Below are 17,045 nucleotides of genomic sequence, written 5' to 3' on the forward strand. Positions count from 1 at the left end.
GGGAGTTGTGGGGGGGAATCAGTCCCTGCCTGGCTGGCCCCAGGACATGCACCAAAATGCAGAATATTCTGTTTATGACACTTTATTGATGCTGGGGGGGTGGGGAGGAGACCTGGAGAAATATGTGGGGGCAAGAGTCCCCAGGTGGGGACAGGGAAAGTGTTGAAGCCTGGCCACTACTGGGCAGGGAAGACAGAGTTGCCACTGTATGCACAGGGGATGAGCAGCTGCCGGTACTCCAGGGGCAGGTGCCGCTCCACTAGCACGTGCAGTGAGACTTGGTCAGTGACCAGGCCCTGCCTGCAGTGGAGGAAGAGAAGGGACAGGCAGAATCAGCACCAAAACTCCCCCAGCCAGCACCCCCACACCTTCCGCCTTCTCACCGCCGCATCAGCAGCTCCAGGTCCTCTGGCTTCACAGTCTTGCGGCCAGCATGAGCAGCAAATACCTCCAGATCATCACAAAGATGCTGGAAATATTTATCTAGGCTGTCAAGAAGGTGGGGATAGAGCAGGCTGAACAGTCTGATCATGACCCGAGGGGTTCCTCTCCCTACCCCATGTGCCCAGGACTCACCACTTCTCCACCATCTCAAGAGCCTTCCTCTCCATGGGCATCTTGGCATAGAAGCTAAAGAGTTTCACATAGTGGCTCAGTCCAGCCTTGTGGGGATCTTGCCGGGGCCTGGGGCCGGTGGTCCGGGGCCTAGGGGGATGCCTGACCAACAGAGGCTCTGCAGGCTCTGAAGATAAGCTGAGGGCAACAGTGGACAGAGGGGGCTGAACTTGCCTCAAGGAGGCTCTTATTCAAGAGCAAGTCTTGCTGGCTTCTGCTGAGGCTGGGGACCACGTGGCCCTTGGCCAGCCAGGACCAGCAGCCCTGACCACCTGCTGAGGGGCAGTTGGGTCAGGGGGCCACATAGAGGCCAGTCTTTCCCTGGGGCTCTGTCCCTCCACAGTCGACTCGACATCCTGGTTCAGACTTATTATCTATATTGGTACCTGCTTGGGTCCATGACTCCAGGCCTTAGAATGGATAGTCTCTCTCCTTACTCTACTGCTGCCTTTCCCGATTCTGCTAATCGTCTTCCAGGAAGCCTTTTCTGACTACAAACCAACCACATACTTTCCCCTCACCCAGGCTCCTCTAAGCCGTGGAGGCAGGCACCAGGATGGCAGGGGTGCTCTTGGTGAGCTCTCCCCAGCCCAGCTGAAGCTGCCCTGCTGGGTAATCATCTGCATACCCGTAGGAAGGGGGAGGACCCTATGTACACAGCATACCCAATGCTCCCTTCCCAAGAGGCCCATGAGGAATGGGGTTGTGGGATCTTACACTGCAGCACCAGGCGCTGGGGCTGGCTCAAGAAACTGATGATGTCGCCTGGCCTGGAGAGACTCAGGGGTGCTGGAGGCCGACTCTGGACTTGCTACAAAGAAGAAGGGTGGGGTCACAGGGATTCCAGGCCTGACCATCTCACCCAGGCCAGCACAGCCACAGTATTTCTGTCCTGTTTCTGGTGGGCCCCACCTAGCTCCAGCCAAGCAGGTGCCCCTCAGTGTCTCCCTGACCCCCTACCACCACCAGTGCCCGGAAACACAACCCAGACAAGGCCTTTCTGTGTGCTAGGGCCTGAACACAGCTGTCACCAGTCACTCCCTGCACTGGGCCTCTTACCTGCCCTGCCAGAGGCATCCTCATCCCCTGAAGATGCTCCTGGCCCGTCAGCCTCAGCAGTCCCCTGGGATCCCTCTGCTTCTGTCACCTCTGTGTGTCCCTCAGCCTCTTCTACCCTGCTGGGTCCTTGTGCTCCTGTTGCCTCCATTTCACTCACACTCACACCTTCTTCTTCCATCTTTTTCTCTGCCTCTTCAACTCCATCGTGTAAGGGCTCTACTTCATCTTCTCCAGAGACACCACTGCTGGTGCTCAGGAAGCCCAGAGCAAAGGCATTGACCTCCTCTGCCTCTCCTGCCAGAAACTGGGCTGGTTTCCCAGGGCCTGAGTGAAGGGGAGAGAATACAGGCCGGAGACGCAGCAGGCCAAGGCTGCATAGCTCAGAGAAGGGTAAAGATGGACCAGCAGACCCAGTCCTGCCCACTGAGGAAAGACAAAGCCAGAGGCAGCACCAGGACATGGATCTGAAGTCTCCTGGCCCAACATGGACTCTGCTCTTGGATGAAGGAGGCAGCCACAGCCAGGGTGCTCTAGGGGCACAGAGGGGCTTGAGGAAGGAAAACTACCATTGTCAACTCTCACCCAAGCTAAATTTGGCTCCAGGCCACCAGTGCCACACACTCACTATTCTTCTGCAGCCCAGGCCCACTGCTCTGTGTCTTGCGACCGGCAGCCTGCTCAGCGTCTTCAGCCCCAGTGTGAGGCGTGCAGGGCAGGGAGTGATACACGTTGGGGGAGCCAACCATGGGCTGAGAGAACGGCTGGGTGTCCTCCAACACAATGTCTGTGGGCAGAGTAGTAACAGGTTCTGAGGCTGTCACCTGGAGATCAGGGGCCAGCTGGCTCTCAGCGTATTCCAGGCCCACCGGCTGCTACTCAGCGTTGCCAGGGCCTGGACAGTGGGCTGCATGGGTCCACCCTGAGTGGCCTTCAGAGAAAGAAGACGACCTAGCACGCGAGGCCTTATCGCCTACAGCCCTCCTTGCTTACCTTCCTGTTCCTCTGCCTGGCAGTCCCAGGCCCCTATAGCTGCCCGCCCACCAGCTGCCCACTTAAAATACCTCTTCGCTGCTTGTTCTGCTCCGTCTTCCCAAACCCTCTTCTTACTCTGGTGAACTTGTTTTCTGCAATCAGGCTCCCAGGTCAGTTTGAATTGGCCAGCTGATCCTGAAACCTGGCCCCTCTCAACAAGTTTTGGCCACCACACCACACCCCTTTACAACCTCCAGCCCTATAGTCTAAGGATATGGGGCCCTGGGAGACACCGAGGGACCAAGGAAAGAGGCCCCCTGTAGAAAGCAAGCAGAAATTCCTTGTAGACCCACTGACCAGAGTTGCTCGCTGTCCTTGACCCCACCGAGAGGGGTGCAACCCTGACTCAGCATCACCTCCTATCTGTCATAGCGGGGAGAGCTTTCCCCAAAGGCCAGCAGGGGAAAACCCAACCTTACTTGGAGGAGCCAGGGAAGTATCTCGCAGATCCCGCAAAAAGGCACCCACGTCTACAGCTCGGCGGGCTGGAGGTCTGCGGGCCAAGCCAGGCCTCTGCACTGACTGTGGCTGAAGAGGTGTGGCAAAGGTCAGGTTGAGGGATCTGGTGAGGTGGGGAGGCACAGAGGAAAGTCAGGTACCTGAGACCCAGTTTGCCCACAGATCCCTCCATCTGCCCTGGGGCTCTCATCTCTTAGAACAGATGCTGTGAGGCTAAAACTGGTAGGAAGTAGTATGGGCAGATTCCATCCCAGGCAGCACCTCCCTCCCCAAGTCTCTCCTCCACCCACTCCCAGAACAGGAAACACCCAGAGCAGCACCTGGTGAGGGAAGAGGCATCAGCATTCCCTTGAGGCTCTGTCAGCAACCGGCAAGAGAATGTAAAAGAAGAAAACCATGGTAAGTGATCCAGGCCTGTGAGGGCCCTCTCTCAGGACTCCTCAGCCTCTCCAGAGGACAGGAGGGAGAGGGTAGCAAAAGTGGTGTCCAGGGCCTCACCTTGGGAGAGAGACAGCCCCTGGTCCACTCCCTGCTGAAACACTGACAGTCTCAGCCTCTGTTTCCTCCTGCCAGGGGCCAGCAGACCTGGAGCCAGGGTTGTGGGGGGCTCGAGCTCAGGAAGTTGCAGCTCCAGGCTATAAGAATGGAGCTTATCTCAGACAGGCCAGGAAGTCCAATTCTGGCTTTTGCAACCCCCAAGAAACTCCCGGACTAAGCTGCCCATAGCACAATCCAAGGTGGGGGAGTTCTGTGTACCTGCCGCAACTGCTCTCTTGTCTGGAGGGTTGGACCGCCTGCGGTGCTGGCACTGGCTTCACTACCGACTCAGGCATCAGGATGGAAGATTCTGGGGCTGCAGAAACACCAAGGAGAGGGTGGGGCTGACAGAACAGGCCACCCTGAATAAAAGATACCACAAGACTGGGGTTGGACTGGTACCTAACTCTGACCGGCAGGCCAGCGCTCACTTACCAGTTAGTAGGATGTTCTTCAGCAGCGTCCGAGGTGTCTGTTCCTCCAAGTGCCCACTGGCCTGAATATGGGCCGATCTGCCAACAGACTATCGGCAAAGCACCAAGCAACCAGTCTGTCCGTCTGCCTTGAGATTTCCTCAAGGTGGGCTCCAGAGCAGAGCTAGACCTCAACCCCCCTCCCCGAGGCAGCCAGGGCCCTTTGGGGTCAGTGGGCTGGGTACTTACCCTGGCTCCATGGGAACGCCCTCTGGCTATCGTCCTTGTTTGGCCACTCAACTTCCTGGGGGAAGCCGTTTCAAGCAGGGCTCTCCGGGCTCTGTGTAAAGACCAGCAATTATGCCGAGAATTACGGTGAGGAGGGATAGAGAATATAGAGACATGCCTTCATCAGGGGTCTTGGTCTGGAGCCGTTTTCCCTCAGGGCTAGGGACCCAGAAACCACTTGCCCCTACCATCGCCCCTGTTCCCAGCCCTATGTCACCAGCAGTGTGGACCGAAGAAGACCCCTGGGGTATGGGAATAGAGAGGGCATATGAGTGAACCAACCAGGAGGGGCTGGGAAAGGCTTCACAGAGGTGACTTCAGCAGAATCACAAAGGATAAGTAGGGGTTAGCCACACAGAAAAGAGGGGCAATTGGAAAAGCATCCACCCCAGACATGAAAGTAACAATCCATGATGGATACTAAAGTATTTTAAAATCTTTTAAGAACTTGGGTACCCCAGACACCTTAGTCTCTCCAGTCCAGTCCCTCTCAGATTCCAGAGCCACATAAGTGTTCCCAGGGCGCAGCTCCTACCTCATGGGTGTAAAACCTATAATGAATGGCTTCTCATTCCCTATAAAGAAACTCCACTGTCCCAGTCTGGCAGATGTCAACGTATGCATCCTCTGCACCATGAGCTCACCACAGCCCTCACCCACTGCCACTCCCACTGACTCAGGCCAAATTCCCTGCTCCTTAGCAAAGCATCTTCCAGTTGCTGCCTCCCAACTTCTGCCCAGGCTGTCCTCTAGCTCCTTTCCCATTTCCCAGCTGGGAGCTACAAGGACAGTAAGACAATGAGCAGGAACAGTGGGAACCCTCGGGACGCAGAAGTTCAGGGCAAATGCCTAGGCACACCCTGGCTGGTCTGGGGAAAGCTGCCTAGAGAACAGAGCAGAAGGTGAGATTCTGAACCCCTATCCTCCATCTCCAGTGGCCGAGCCCCCAGAGACCCGGGATCAGTCAGGCTCTGTGGTCCCGAGGGCTGGCTGCCTGGAGCCCTGGGGGCAGGGGCACAAACAGCTGGCCCGGGCCCGGCTAGAGCAATGGAACCAGTTCTCAGAGTCCCAGGCCCTGCTCCTCTCTGAGACTCAGTTTTCCTCTTCGAACAGAGTCGACGCTGGGTTCCACCCAGACCCTGCTCCTCTCTGAGACTCAGTTTTCCTCTTCGAACAGAGTCGACGCTGGGTTCCACCCAGACCCCACTCCCCGGTCCCTCTAGTTGCTCAAGTACTCGGGGAGCCCCCTCACATACCCAGCCCGAGCACTCCGGGGTCGCCGCGGGGTGCGCGGGTCCGCTGTATCCAGCACGCGTCGCAGCAGCGTGCGCGGCGTGGAGTCGCTGTCAGGGTTGTGGTCAGCCATCGTCTCGGCCCCGGGCCCTCCTAACCGCCCAGCCAGCTGCAGGCTCCGCCTTCCCGCCGCCACAGTTAATGTAACTCTCGCGATGCTCCCGCACAGCCCCACGGGAATTGTAGTTCTCGCACTATCGCAGCTCGCGGGGTGGACAGTGATGGTTGCAAACTCCGGATGCTTTGGAGGCAGCCTCGCTGCGGGTAAACCTCGGTTAATGTAATGCAAGCAGCCCAAGTCTTGGCTTCTTCATCTGTAAATTGAGGTTGATACCCACCTGATAAGGAGCTTGTAATGATTCAAGGAGTTGATGTTTAACTCAGAGTCTAACACACGATAAGCCAGGGCACTGGTAACTAGCAATTGCTATTATTAGAAGGCTCTCTCATTCCCATCTCCCTCTCCGAAGATGAGGAGAGACACTTGGGCCAGGAAAAAGATTTTTATCCTACATATGACCTGGTTAGATTTGCATTTGCAGGCTAGGCGGTGGTTCACGCCTGTAATTCCAATACTTTAGGACACCGAGGCGGGAGGATAGCTTGAGCTCAGGAGTTCGAGAGCAGCCTGGGCAACACAGTGAGACCCCTGCCCCCTGGTCTCTACAAAAAATAAAAATAAATTATTCAGTCATGGTGGTGCGCGCCTGTAGTCCCAGATAATGGGGAGGCTGAGGCAGGAGCATTGCTTGAGCCCAGGAGTTCAAGACTTAAGTGAGTCGTGATCGCACTCCAGCCTGGGCAACAGAGAGAGACCCTGTATCAAAAAATAATAAAAGCATTTTTAAAAGATCTGCTTTGCAAATCTGTCTATAGGGCCTATCTCTATCAGAAGAGACCAGGAAGCAGGCTCCAAGGCTAATAGGCTGTTTGTGATCCAGCACTGATGTTATTATGATCTCCAAACACGAGCAATTTTGAGATGAATTCCGGCTCTCAAAAGTTCTATTAATGTTTTCCCCATTACCACCACATCTAGCAAAATAAATAAATAAAAATTGGGGTTTTTTTTGAGACAGAGTTTTGCTCTTGTTGCCCAGGCTGGAGTGCAATGGCACAATCTCGGCTCACCGCAACCTCCACCTCCTGGGTTCAAGCGATTCTCCTGCCTCAGCCTCCCGAGTAGCTGGGATTACAGGCATGCACCACCACACCCGGCTAATTTTGTATTTTAAGTAGAGACAGGGTTTCTCCATGTTGGTCAGGCTGGTGTCAAACTCCTGACCTCAAGTGATCCGCCTGCCTCGGCCTCCCAAAGTGCTGGGATTACAGGTGTGAGCCACTGCGCCCGGCCATTAAAAATTTTTAATGCTAGAGATGCTTACCATATTCTGTTAGTGTTTTCCTCCGTATTTTTCACTGGTTGACAATCCTCTCACCTTAAGTTTTCATGGCAACTGAATTAGAACTTGGTTTCTGAGTCTTCCGTGGAGTTCACTTTCCCAGAATCTGCACTGAGATCAAGTGTAAATTATCAGATACCTGAGACAAGCATGGGCATATTTGTGCTTGTGTTAAAAAAGCTGAGCCAAGAAGTCCAGGCATGGTGGCTCATGCCTGTAATCCCAGCACTTTGGGAGGCTGAGGCGGGCGGATCACTTGAGGTCAGGAGTTCAAGACCAGTCTGGCCAACATGGTTAAACCTGTCTCTACTAAAAACACAAAAATTAGCTGGGTGTAGTGGCACTCACCTATAATTCCAGCTACTCTGGAAACTGAGGCAGGAGAATTGCTTGAACCCTGGGAGGCAGAGGTTGCAGAGCTGAGATCGAGCCACACTACTCCAGCTTGGGCGACTAAGCAAGACTCCATCTCGGAAAAAAAAAATTAAGCAAAAAATTAGATTCTTGCTTCTCAAAATAAGAGAACTGTAGAGAAAAAGCTATCGATATTCCTTGTCATTTAGATCTGATATCTGTGTTATCTGACTCAATTTGCTATCCTTTTGCAGACATATTTCCATGGTTACTACCTAAATGCAGTTTTTTTTTTGTTTTTGTTTTTTTTTTGAGATGTTCTCCTGCCTCAGCCTCCTGAGCAGCTGGGATTACAGGCTGGCACCACCACGCCCAGCTAATTTTTGTATAGAGACGGGGTTTCACCATTTTGGTCATGCTGGTCTCGAACTCCTCATGATCCGCCTGCCTCAGCCTCCCAAAGTGCTGGGATTACAGGCGTGAGCCATGGCGCCTGGTCTGCAGTTTTGTTTTTGTTTTTGTTTTTTGTTTTTTGAGATGGAGTCTCACTTTGTTGCCCGGGATGGAGTGCAGTGGCACAATCTCAGCTCACTGCAACCTCTGCCTCCCGGTTTCAAGCAATTCTCCCTGCCTCAGCCTCCCAAGTAGCTGGGATTACAGGTGCCCACCACCACACCTGGCTAATTTTTTGTATTTTTAGTAGAGACGGGGTTTCACCATGTTGGCCAAGATGGTCTTGACCTCCTGACCTCATGATCCGCCCACCTCAGCCTCCCAAAGTGCTGGGATTACAGGCGTGAGCCACTACACCCGGCCCCAGCCTGCAGTTTTAAATTATTTATTCATTTACTAGTAAAACCTTGAACTATTGAATAATATGGAAAAAAACAAACATCTTTTTTTTTTTTTTTGAGATGGAGTCTCGCTTTGTTGCCCAGGCTGGAGTGTAGTGGTGCGATCTCAGCTCACTGCAACCTCTGCCTCCTGGGTTCAAGCAATTCTCCCTGCCTCAGCCTCCCAAGCAGCTAGGATTACAGGGGCCCACCGCCAAGCCCGGCTAATTTTTTGTATTTTTTTTCTTTTTTTGAGACAGAGTTTTGCTCTTGTTGCCCAGGCTGGAGTGCAATGGCGCAACCTCTGCCTTCTGAGCCTCTCGAGTAGCTGGGATTACAGGCATGTGCCACCACGCATGGCTGATTTTGTATTTTTAGTAAAGATGGGGTTTCTCCATGTTGGTCAGGCTGGTCTTGAACTCCCGACCTCAGGTGATCCGCCTGCCTCAGCCTCCCAAAGGTTCACGCCATTCTCCTGCCTCAGCCTCCCGAGTAGCTGGGAGTACAGGCGCCCACTACCACGCCCGGCTAATTTTTTGTATTTTTAGTAGAGACGGGGTTTCACCGTGTTAGCCAGGATGGTCTCGATCTCCTGACCTTGTGATCTGCCCGCCTCGGCCTCCCAAAGTGCTGGGATTACAGGCGTGAGCCACTACGAAATTTTTTGTATTTTTAGTAGAGACGAGGTTTCGCTCTGTTGGCCAGGCTGGTCTCCAACTCCTAACCTCAGGTGATCTTCCGCCTCGGCCTCCCAAAGTGCTGGGATTACAGGCGTGAGCCACCGTGCCTTGCCTTTTTTTTTTCTTTTTTTTTTGAGACAGGGTCTCGCTCTGTCACCCGCGCTGGAGTGCAATGGTGGGATCACAGGTCACTGAAGATCTCAACCTTCTGGACTCAAGCCATCCTCCCACCTCAGCCTTCTGAGTAGCTGGGATTACCGGAGTGAGTCACCATGCCCAGCTAATTATTGTATTTTACGTACAGGCGGGGTTTCACCATGTTGCCCAGGCTGGTCAAACATGTTTCAAAAAAGATTAAAACATGAACTTTGGCTGGGCGCAGTGGCTCACACCTGTAATCCTAGCACTTTGGGAGGCCGAGGCAGGTGGATCACAAGGTCAGGAGTTCAAGACCAGCCTGGCCAAGATGGTGAAACCCTGTCTCTACTAAAAATACAAAAAATTAGCCGGGCACGATGGCAGGTGCCTGTAATCCCAGCTACTCGGGAGGCTGAGTCAGGAGAATCGCTTGAACTTGGAGGGTGAAGGTTGCAGTCAGCCAAGATTGCACTCCAGCCTGGGCGACAGAGTGAGACTCCGTCTCAAAAACAAACAAACAAACAAACAAACAAACAATGAGCTTCATTCTTTGTACAGTAGTATTCTGTTTGTTCACATAATTAAACGTTATAATTACTTGTTTAAAAAAAATACTGGGATGAAGTGAGGCAGGGAGGAGCGAAAGAGAATGACAGGGCTAGACTAATATGGGGTCTTGCAAGCTCTGGGAAAGAATCTGGACATTATTCTAAATGGAATAGGAAGCCAGTGGAGGAATTTAAGCAGAGGTATGACATATCAGATTTTCTCTGGCAGTCATGTGAAGAACAGATTGCAGGAGAGGCAAGATTGAAGGCAGGGAGACATGTGATGAGGTTCTTGCCTTTCTCCAGGGGTGATTAAGACAGAGAGTGAGCTGGATCGTGGAGGTGGGGAGAAAGCCATGCATTCCAGATATGCTTTGAGGTAGAAGATTAAGTGTAGATGACAGGTGATTTTATGTACTGGAAATTAGAGTTTCATTGGGCATAATTTTCAATATTCTGTGCATAAAGAAATTACATCAATTTGGCCTCTCAACATTTTTTGAGCAAGGTGAGTCCTGAGACAGGTAGAGTTTGAACCATAACAGTTACAATGATCTTTTGCTGAATTTTATCTCTACTGCACACGTATTTAAACATGGCCAGGCACGGTGGTTCATGCCTGTAATCCCAGCACTTTGGGAGGCCGAGGCAGGCTGATCACCTGGGGTCAGGAGTTCGAGACCAGCCCGGACAACGTGGTGAAACCTCATCTTTACTAAAAACACAAAAATTAGCCAGGCATGGTGGTTCATGCCTGTAGTCCCAGCTACTCGGGAGGCTGAGGCAGGAGAATGGCTTGAACCCGGGAGATGGAGGTTGCTGTGAGCCGAGATCGTGCCATTGCATTCCAGCCTGGGTGACAGAGCGAGACTCCGTCTCAAAAAAAAAAAAAGAAAAAAAAATGGCCAGGCGCGGTGGCTCACACCTGTAATTCCAGCACTTTGGGAGGCTGAGGTGGGTGGATCATGAGGTCAGGAGGTCAAGGCCAGTCTGGCCAACATAGTGAAACCCTGTCTCTATGAAAAATACAAAAAATTAGTCGGGTGTAGTGGTGTGGGCCTGTAATTCCACCTACTCAGGAGGCTGAGGCAGGAAAATCGTGTGAACTCGGGAGGCAGAGATTACAGTGAACTGAGATTGTGCCACTGCACTCCAGCCCTGGCCACAGTGTGAGTGCAAGACTCTGTCTCAAAAAAAAAAAAAAAAAAATTTAAGCATGTAATATTGGCCGGGTGCAGTGGCTCACACTTGTAATCCCAGCACTTTAGGAGGCCAAGGTGGCCGGATCACCTGAGGTCAGAAGTTCCAGACTAGCCTGCCCAACATGTTGAAACTCCATCTCTTCTAAAAATACAAAAATTAGGTCGGGTGCGGTGGCTCACGCCTGTAATCCCAGCACTTTGGGAGGCTGAGATGGGTGGATTGCATGAGGTCAGGAGTTTGCGACCAACCTGGCCAACATGAGGAAAACCCCGCTCTACAAAAATACAAAAATTAGCCGGGTATGGTGGTGGGCACCTATAATACCAGCTCTTGGGAGGCTGAGGCAGGAGAATTGCTTGAACCCTGAAGTGGAGTTTGCAGTGAGCCTAGATCGTGCCACTTCACTCCAGCCTGACCAAGAACAAAACTCCACCTCAAAAAAAAAAAAAAAAAAACCAAAAAAAATTAGCTGGGTGTGGTCGTGCACACCTGTAATCCCAGTTACCTGGGAGGCTAAGGCAGAAGAATTGCTTGAACCCAAGAGGCGGATGTTGCAGTGAGCCAAGATTGCACCACTACACGCCAGCCTGGGCAACAGAGTGAGACATCGTCTAAGAAAAATAAAAATAAATAAATAAATAAATAGGCTGGGCACGGTAGCTCACACCTATAATCCCAGCACTTTGGGAGGCCGAGGTGGGTGGATCACCTGAGGTCAGGAGTGGGAGACCAGCCAGCCCAACATGGCGAAACCCTGTCTCTACTAAAAGTACACAAAATTAGCTGGTTGTGGTGCCTGGCGCCTGTAATCCCAGCTACTTGGGAGGCTGAGGCAGGAGAATCTCTTGAACCTGGGAGGTGGAGGTTGCAGTAAGCCGAGATCGCACCACTGCACTTCAGCCTCAACAATGAGAACGAAACTCCATCTCAAATAAATAAATACATAAGTAAAAATGCAATATGTGTGTTCACGTTTATACCGTTGTATAAATGATTCACCCAAATGAATGCATATCTTTTACCAGGGGCTACACCGGCCCCATTTTGTTTTTATGTCCAATAATATAATTAGAAGTAATGTACATTAGAGGCCGGGCGCGGTGGCTCACGCCTGTAATCCCAGCACTTTGGGAGGCCGAGGCGGGCGGATCACGAAGTCAGGAGATCGAGACCATCCTGGCTAACACGGTGAAACCCCGTCTTTACTAAAAATACAAAAAAAATTAGCCGGGCACGGTGGCGGGCGCTTGTAGTCCCAGCTACTTGGGAGGCTGAGGCAGGAGAATGGCATGAACCCGGGAGGCAGAGCTTGCAGTGAGCTGAGATCGCGCCACTGCCCTCCAGCCTGGGCAACAGAGCGAGACTCCGTCTCAAAATAAAAAAAGAAAAAAAAGAAATAATATATATTAGGTTTCTATTTCATGCCTGTGATCTGCTATCAGGAGAGAAAAAAGGACAAGAAAAATTGGGAGGTGACCACGATCATGTCTTTTGTGGGAATATGCATGGAGCTGGGGGCCATTATCCTTAGCAAACTAATGCAGGAACAGAAAACCAAATACCACATATTCTCACAAGTGTGAGTTAAATGATGAGAACTCATGAACACAAAGAAGACAACAACAGACACTGGGGTCTAATTGCGGGGGGCGGGAGGAGGGAGAGGAACAGAAAAGATAACTATTGGGTACTGGGCTTAATACCTGGGTGATGAAATAATCTGTACAACAAATCGCGGTGACACGAGTTCACCTATGTAGTAAACCTTCACACGTACCCCCGAACCTAAAGTAAAAGTTTAAAAAAAATTGGGAGAAGGAAGAACTCGGCAAAGGAGGGCTAGTTTGCAGGTAATTCACCTGGAGAACTGCCTGGCCCCTCCCTGGCTTTCCACAACATTTTGTGTTCTTTAAAACATTTTCCCCCAGCCAGGCGCCGTGATCCTAGCTCACGCCTGTAATCCTAGCACTTTGGGAGGCCGAGGCGAGCAGATTGCCTGAGCTCACGAGTTCGAGACCAGCCTGAGAAACATGGCGAAACCCCGTCTCTACTAAATACAAAATACATATATATATATATATATATATATATATATATATATTAGCCGGGCATGGTGGCATGCGCCTGTAGTCCCAGCTACTCCGGAGGCTGAGGCAGGAGAATTGCTTGAACCCAGGAGGCGGAGGTTGCGGTGAGCCGAGATCTCACCATTGCACTCCAGTCTGGCGACACAGTGAGACTCCTTTACAAAAAAAAAAAAAAAAAAAAAAAAAAAAGATTCCCTCAAATAAGTTGAGGTGGGGGGAGGTGTATTGTTACAATGCAAATCCTTTCCCATAAAATCCTTTAATAGCTCTCAGTGGCCTGCAGAATAAAACCCCAAATCCTTAACATGTCCCAGTTTGGTATTTTCCTACGCTTGGCCCTACCCGGGCCACCCCTTTCCAGGCTCTTTAATGGCGGAGCCTAGCTCTTTTCTGCCATGTGGCCTTACAGACTGGTTCCTGGGACAAGAATTGGCTACTTCTCCCTACCCAAGCTTTCGTTCGTTTTTTTATTCCTGGCCCCCACCACCTCCCCCCCATTTCTCTGCTCTCCTGTTAATTCCTTTGGAGCGATTACTATTTGTGAGTAGACATCCATTCGCGTGCATTCAGATCTATTATCCAAAAGACAGACGCTTATCCGTCTAGGTAGTCAGGCTCCAAGAGAGGAGCCCAGTCGGTCTGACTCCCGCAAACTCCCGGCACCGTGTCAGCCACATAGTAGGCGTCTACTGGAGACTTTGTTTAGATCAGTTAGTCAACGCAGGCAGCAGCTGAATCAGGAGAGAGTCCCCAACGCAAAGAAAGGGGCTCCTGAGACCCTTCGGGGCGCCGAGGCCCAGGTTTCGTCTCCCTCTGCTGCAGCAATGCCGTCGACTCAAAGGGGCTCGGGGCTGGGGAACTGGTTCTGGCAAACAGCACAACCTCGCCCGAATCCTGGTCCGCAGTAACTCGATCTTTCCCTTAGGCGGCGCTTCGGAGGGAAGGCGCCTAGTTCAGCGCGAGGCATCACGGGATTTGTAGTCTCCGTGGGCATATACCCACCGCGCTTGCGCACCGGTGAGGCGCGCACCGCCCCGCTCCACGCCCCTATCAGGATTCGGGTCCTCGTGAGGAGCAGTCCAGGCGACAGCGTTCCAACCTAATACGCCTCTCTCGCCCGCCGGGGACAAGACGGGCTGGGGAAAGAATCTGCTCTTCGGAGGCTATCGCAGTGCCTTGGAAGGCGGCAGGAATCCGCACACACCCGCCCCGGAAGTGAGCCGCTTCTGGCGCGGGGCATTGTGGGGGGCGTAGTCTCTTTCTCAGGCGGTCCTTCGCGGCGTCCCCGGGGCCCACTCCCGAGCGCAGGCGGGCAGCCAGGCGGGCGGCGCGGCGCGGGCCGGCAGGAAGCGTATTCTGGGCACGGGGCGCCGGGCGGGCCGGCTGCGCCGAGCGGCAGTGGTGGGATACCACCCAAGGCCTCGCGCGGCGCCGCCCGTCGAGGGGCGGGCGGCGGCGTAGCCACTGGGCCGTCGAAGAGCGCAGGAGGCCGGTGGGCCGGGCCGGGCCGCGCGGCGCAGCCATGCCTGGCTTTACGTGCTGCGTGCCAGGCTGCTACAACAACTCGCACCGGGACAAGGCGCTGCACTTCTACACGTTTCCAAAGGACGCTGAGTTGCGGCGCCTCTGGCTCAAGAACGTGTCGCGTGCCGGCGTCAGTGGGTGCTTCTCCACCTTCCAGCCCACCACAGGCCACCGTCTCTGCAGCGTTCACTTCCAGGGCGGCCGCAAGACCTACACGGTACGCGTCCCCACCATCTTCCCGCTGCGCGGCGTCAATGAGCGCAAAGTAGCGCGCAGACCCGCTGGGGCCGCGGCCGCCCGCCGCAGGCAGCAGCAGCAACAGCAGCAGCAGCAGCAACAGCAGCAACAGCAGCAGCAGCAGCAACAGCAGCAGCAGCAGCAGCAGCAGCAGCAGTCCTCACCCTCTGCCTCCACTGCCCAGACTGCCCAGCTGCAGCCGAACCTGGTATCTGCTTCCGCGGCCGTGCTTCTCACCCTTCAGGCCACTGTAGACAGCAGTCAGGCTCCGGGATCCGTACAGCCGGCGCCCATCACTCCCACTGGAGAAGACGTGAAGCCCATCGATCTCACAGTGCAAGTGGAGTTTGCAGCCGCAGAGGGCGCAGCCGCTGCGGCCGCCGCGTCGGAGTTACAGGCTGCTACCGCAGGGCTGGAGGCTGCCGAGTGCCCTATGGGCCCCCAGTTGGTGGTGGTAGGGGAAGAGGGCTTCCCTGATACTGGCTCCGACCATTCGTACTCCTTGTCGTCAGGCACCACGGAGGAGGAGCTCCTGCGCAAGCTGAATGAGCAGCGGGACATCCTGGCTCTGATGGAAGTGAAGATGAAAGAGATGAAAGGCAGCATTCGCCACCTGCGTCTCACTGAGGCCAAGCTGCGCGAAGAACTGCGTGAGAAGGATCGGCTGCTTGCCATGGCTGTCATCCGCAAGAAGCACGGAATGTGAACTGGTGCCCCGGCAGCCTGCTGGACTCCCAGACCCCATCCAGCCAGGGGACCGCAGGCCATTGTTGAACTCCTCTATACTCCTGGGCACTGGTTGACAGTACTGAGGCTTAAGGCAGCTGGACTCTCTTGCTGGTGACCTGGCATCCTCAATTGTTTCCTCCTGAAGTGGAAGCTGGGGCCTTAGACTCTGCCCTGGTGACACCAGCAATTATGACTTTGTCTACCCTTCCTCCCCAGTTATTGTTGCAGATTCTGGTTAAGCAGAGGCTTCAGAACCACTGAACTTGAAACTTACCCTCTAGGGATGCAGGTGGGATGTCCAGGGACTATAGGTTTGGGAAAACCATACCTTAAGGTTGGTCAGCAGTCAGACAACTCTAATGTGTGTAGTGATAAGAGATTCAAGTAACATCAGTTCTCCTCCTTTTCATGCTTTTCCTTCCCAGGTGCAGCCTGTGATTCTGATGGGGACTGGTAAATCTGTGCCTCTGCCTCCTAGGACTTATTTTCCCAGGAGGCCATTTACAAGGGGATCTGGATGACCTGCTGATGGAGATCCAGCTTGCCAGGGACTTAGGTTTATCCTGTTTTGTTTGCTACTGGTTACAAATTCTATTTTCTGTACAATTAGTCAGACTAAAGTTTTCACTGTGTTTGTTTGGCAAAACAAATTAAACAAAAAGTAAGGTTTTTATTTGGGTCTCGCCATTTTATTTTTACAAAAACATAGTTAAATGTCCTTGAAACATGGGGAAATAGGCCTCAGCCTTTCTGAAAGACCAGGCTGACCCTGAAAGTAGAGATGCTTCAATGACCAGTTTTTCCAAAAATGGGCCCTAAGCACATGGATCCTGGCCTTATAAGGTCCTCACAGAGTTCCTGGCCCAGCTCACCCTAAAGAGTTTGGAAACTGCACCAAATGGGCCCAGTTTGTCCATGGATTATCTCCCTGTATCCTTTCAACAAGAAGGACCAACTGGTAACTAAGCTATATTGTGATAGTTCGCCTCTGAGGGTTTCAATTCTCAGCTGGGATTGAATTTTGCTCACCATGACATCCCTTAGGCTTAGCACAGCCTCTGGTATGCATGTGCATGCAGTTACTCTGTGAACCGGTAAGAGCGCAGCTGGAGCTAGCCAGGGCTGCTTCAGGCACAAGGACTGTTGTATAGATACCTTGGCCTTGGTACACCTTCGGTGTGACAGAGCTGTATCCACAGAGAGCATTAAGAAGTTGGGAGGTGTGATTCCTTGACTCATTTTCTTGGCTGCCTGCCTCTATTTTTTTTTTTTTATTTTTTTTTAAGATGGAGCTTTGCTCTTGTCACCCAGGCTGGAGTGCAATGGTGTGATCTCAGCTCACTGCAACCTCTGCCTCCCAGGTTCAAGCAATTCTTCTGCCTCACCCTCCTGAGTAGCTGGGATTATAGGCACCCGCCACCACGTCGGGCTGATTTTTGTATTTTCAGTAGAGACAGGATTTCACCATGTTGGCCAGGCTGGTCTCGAGCTCCTGATCTCAGGTGATCCGCCTGCTCTGCCTCCCAAAGTACTGAGATTACAGGTGTGAGCTACCCCGCCCAGCCTCTATTTTTTCTTAGATTGAATATTGAAGGGGCAAGGATTACATTGCT

The 17,045-nt window shown here is 52.8% G+C and overlaps 2 protein-coding genes across 6 annotated transcripts in view, besides 7 other annotated features; one reads left to right on the forward strand and one right to left on the reverse strand.

Moving 5' to 3' along the window:
* The window catches only part of CENPT (centromere protein T), a 19,537-nt gene continuing 2,558 nt past the window's right edge, over positions 67-17,045 (reverse strand). The window contains exons 2-16 of one of the 5 annotated variants that reach the window (NM_025082.4): positions 7,448-7,568; positions 7,082-7,210; positions 5,660-6,010; positions 4,365-4,455; positions 4,138-4,225; positions 3,922-4,018; positions 3,664-3,800; positions 3,486-3,522; positions 3,126-3,268; positions 2,300-2,458; positions 1,675-1,998; positions 1,333-1,426; positions 577-753; positions 384-488; positions 67-300 (exon numbers count right to left, since the gene is read on the reverse strand). In NM_025082.4, the coding sequence (NP_079358.3) occupies positions 177-300; positions 384-488; positions 577-753; positions 1,333-1,426; positions 1,675-1,998; positions 2,300-2,458; positions 3,126-3,268; positions 3,486-3,522; positions 3,664-3,800; positions 3,922-4,018; positions 4,138-4,225; positions 4,365-4,455; positions 5,660-5,769 (1,686 nt within the window). In that variant the 5' untranslated portion in view covers positions 5,770-6,010; positions 7,082-7,210; positions 7,448-7,568 and the 3' untranslated portion in view covers positions 67-176. Of the gene's footprint in view, positions 301-383; positions 489-576; positions 754-1,332; positions 1,427-1,674; positions 1,999-2,299; positions 2,459-2,735; positions 3,069-3,125; positions 3,269-3,485; positions 3,523-3,663; positions 3,801-3,921; positions 4,019-4,137; positions 4,265-4,364; positions 4,456-5,659; positions 6,011-7,081; positions 7,211-7,447; positions 7,569-17,045 lie in introns of those variants that run through there. The other 4 variants (XM_047434686.1, XM_024450455.2, XM_024450456.2 and 1 more) reach the window with 4 other exon arrangements.
* Positions 5,432-5,481: an enhancer, noted in NCBI's record as "active region_10986". NCBI's record gives its function as "activates an Ori minimal core promoter by ATAC-STARR-seq in GM12878 lymphoblastoid cells {active_cell/tissue: GM12878}" and the evidence as "EXISTENCE:reporter gene assay evidence [ECO:0000049][PMID:35858748]".
* Positions 5,962-6,011: an enhancer, noted in NCBI's record as "active region_10987". NCBI's record gives its function as "activates an Ori minimal core promoter by ATAC-STARR-seq in GM12878 lymphoblastoid cells {active_cell/tissue: GM12878}" and the evidence as "EXISTENCE:reporter gene assay evidence [ECO:0000049][PMID:35858748]".
* Positions 13,944-13,993: an enhancer, noted in NCBI's record as "active region_10988". NCBI's record gives its function as "activates an Ori minimal core promoter by ATAC-STARR-seq in GM12878 lymphoblastoid cells {active_cell/tissue: GM12878}" and the evidence as "EXISTENCE:reporter gene assay evidence [ECO:0000049][PMID:35858748]".
* On the forward strand, positions 14,230-16,105 carry THAP11 (THAP domain containing 11). Its single transcript, NM_020457.3, has one exon. It carries the CDS (start codon positions 14,465-14,467, stop codon positions 15,407-15,409), a length of 945 nt encoding a protein of 314 aa, NP_065190.2. The 5' UTR covers positions 14,230-14,464; the 3' UTR covers positions 15,410-16,105.
* Positions 14,244-14,423: a silencer, noted in NCBI's record as "silent region_7627". NCBI's record gives its function as "represses an Ori minimal core promoter by ATAC-STARR-seq in GM12878 lymphoblastoid cells {active_cell/tissue: GM12878}" and the evidence as "EXISTENCE:reporter gene assay evidence [ECO:0000049][PMID:35858748]".
* Positions 14,446-15,192: an enhancer, noted in NCBI's record as "H3K27ac-H3K4me1 hESC enhancer chr16:67876439-67877185 (GRCh37/hg19 assembly coordinates)". NCBI's record gives its function as "activates a minimal SCP1, AML or CMV promoter by ChIP-STARR-seq in naive H9 embryonic stem cells {active_cell/tissue: H9 hESC(naive)}" and the evidence as "EXISTENCE:reporter gene assay evidence [ECO:0000049][PMID:30033119]".
* Positions 14,904-15,063: an enhancer, noted in NCBI's record as "active region_10989". NCBI's record gives its function as "activates an Ori minimal core promoter by ATAC-STARR-seq in GM12878 lymphoblastoid cells {active_cell/tissue: GM12878}" and the evidence as "EXISTENCE:reporter gene assay evidence [ECO:0000049][PMID:35858748]".
* Positions 15,504-15,553: an enhancer, noted in NCBI's record as "active region_10990". NCBI's record gives its function as "activates an Ori minimal core promoter by ATAC-STARR-seq in GM12878 lymphoblastoid cells {active_cell/tissue: GM12878}" and the evidence as "EXISTENCE:reporter gene assay evidence [ECO:0000049][PMID:35858748]".

The sequence above is a fragment of the Homo sapiens genome, chromosome 16 (genome assembly GCF_000001405.40).
Source record: "Homo sapiens chromosome 16, GRCh38.p14 Primary Assembly".
In the NCBI taxonomy this organism is placed as follows: domain Eukaryota; kingdom Metazoa; phylum Chordata; class Mammalia; order Primates; family Hominidae; genus Homo; species Homo sapiens.

Excerpts from the sequence above, each read along its gene's own strand:
- THAP11 (NM_020457.3), top strand. The coding sequence starts at position 14,465 with ATGCCTGGCTTTACGTGCTGCGTGCCAGGCTGCTACAACAACTCGCAC.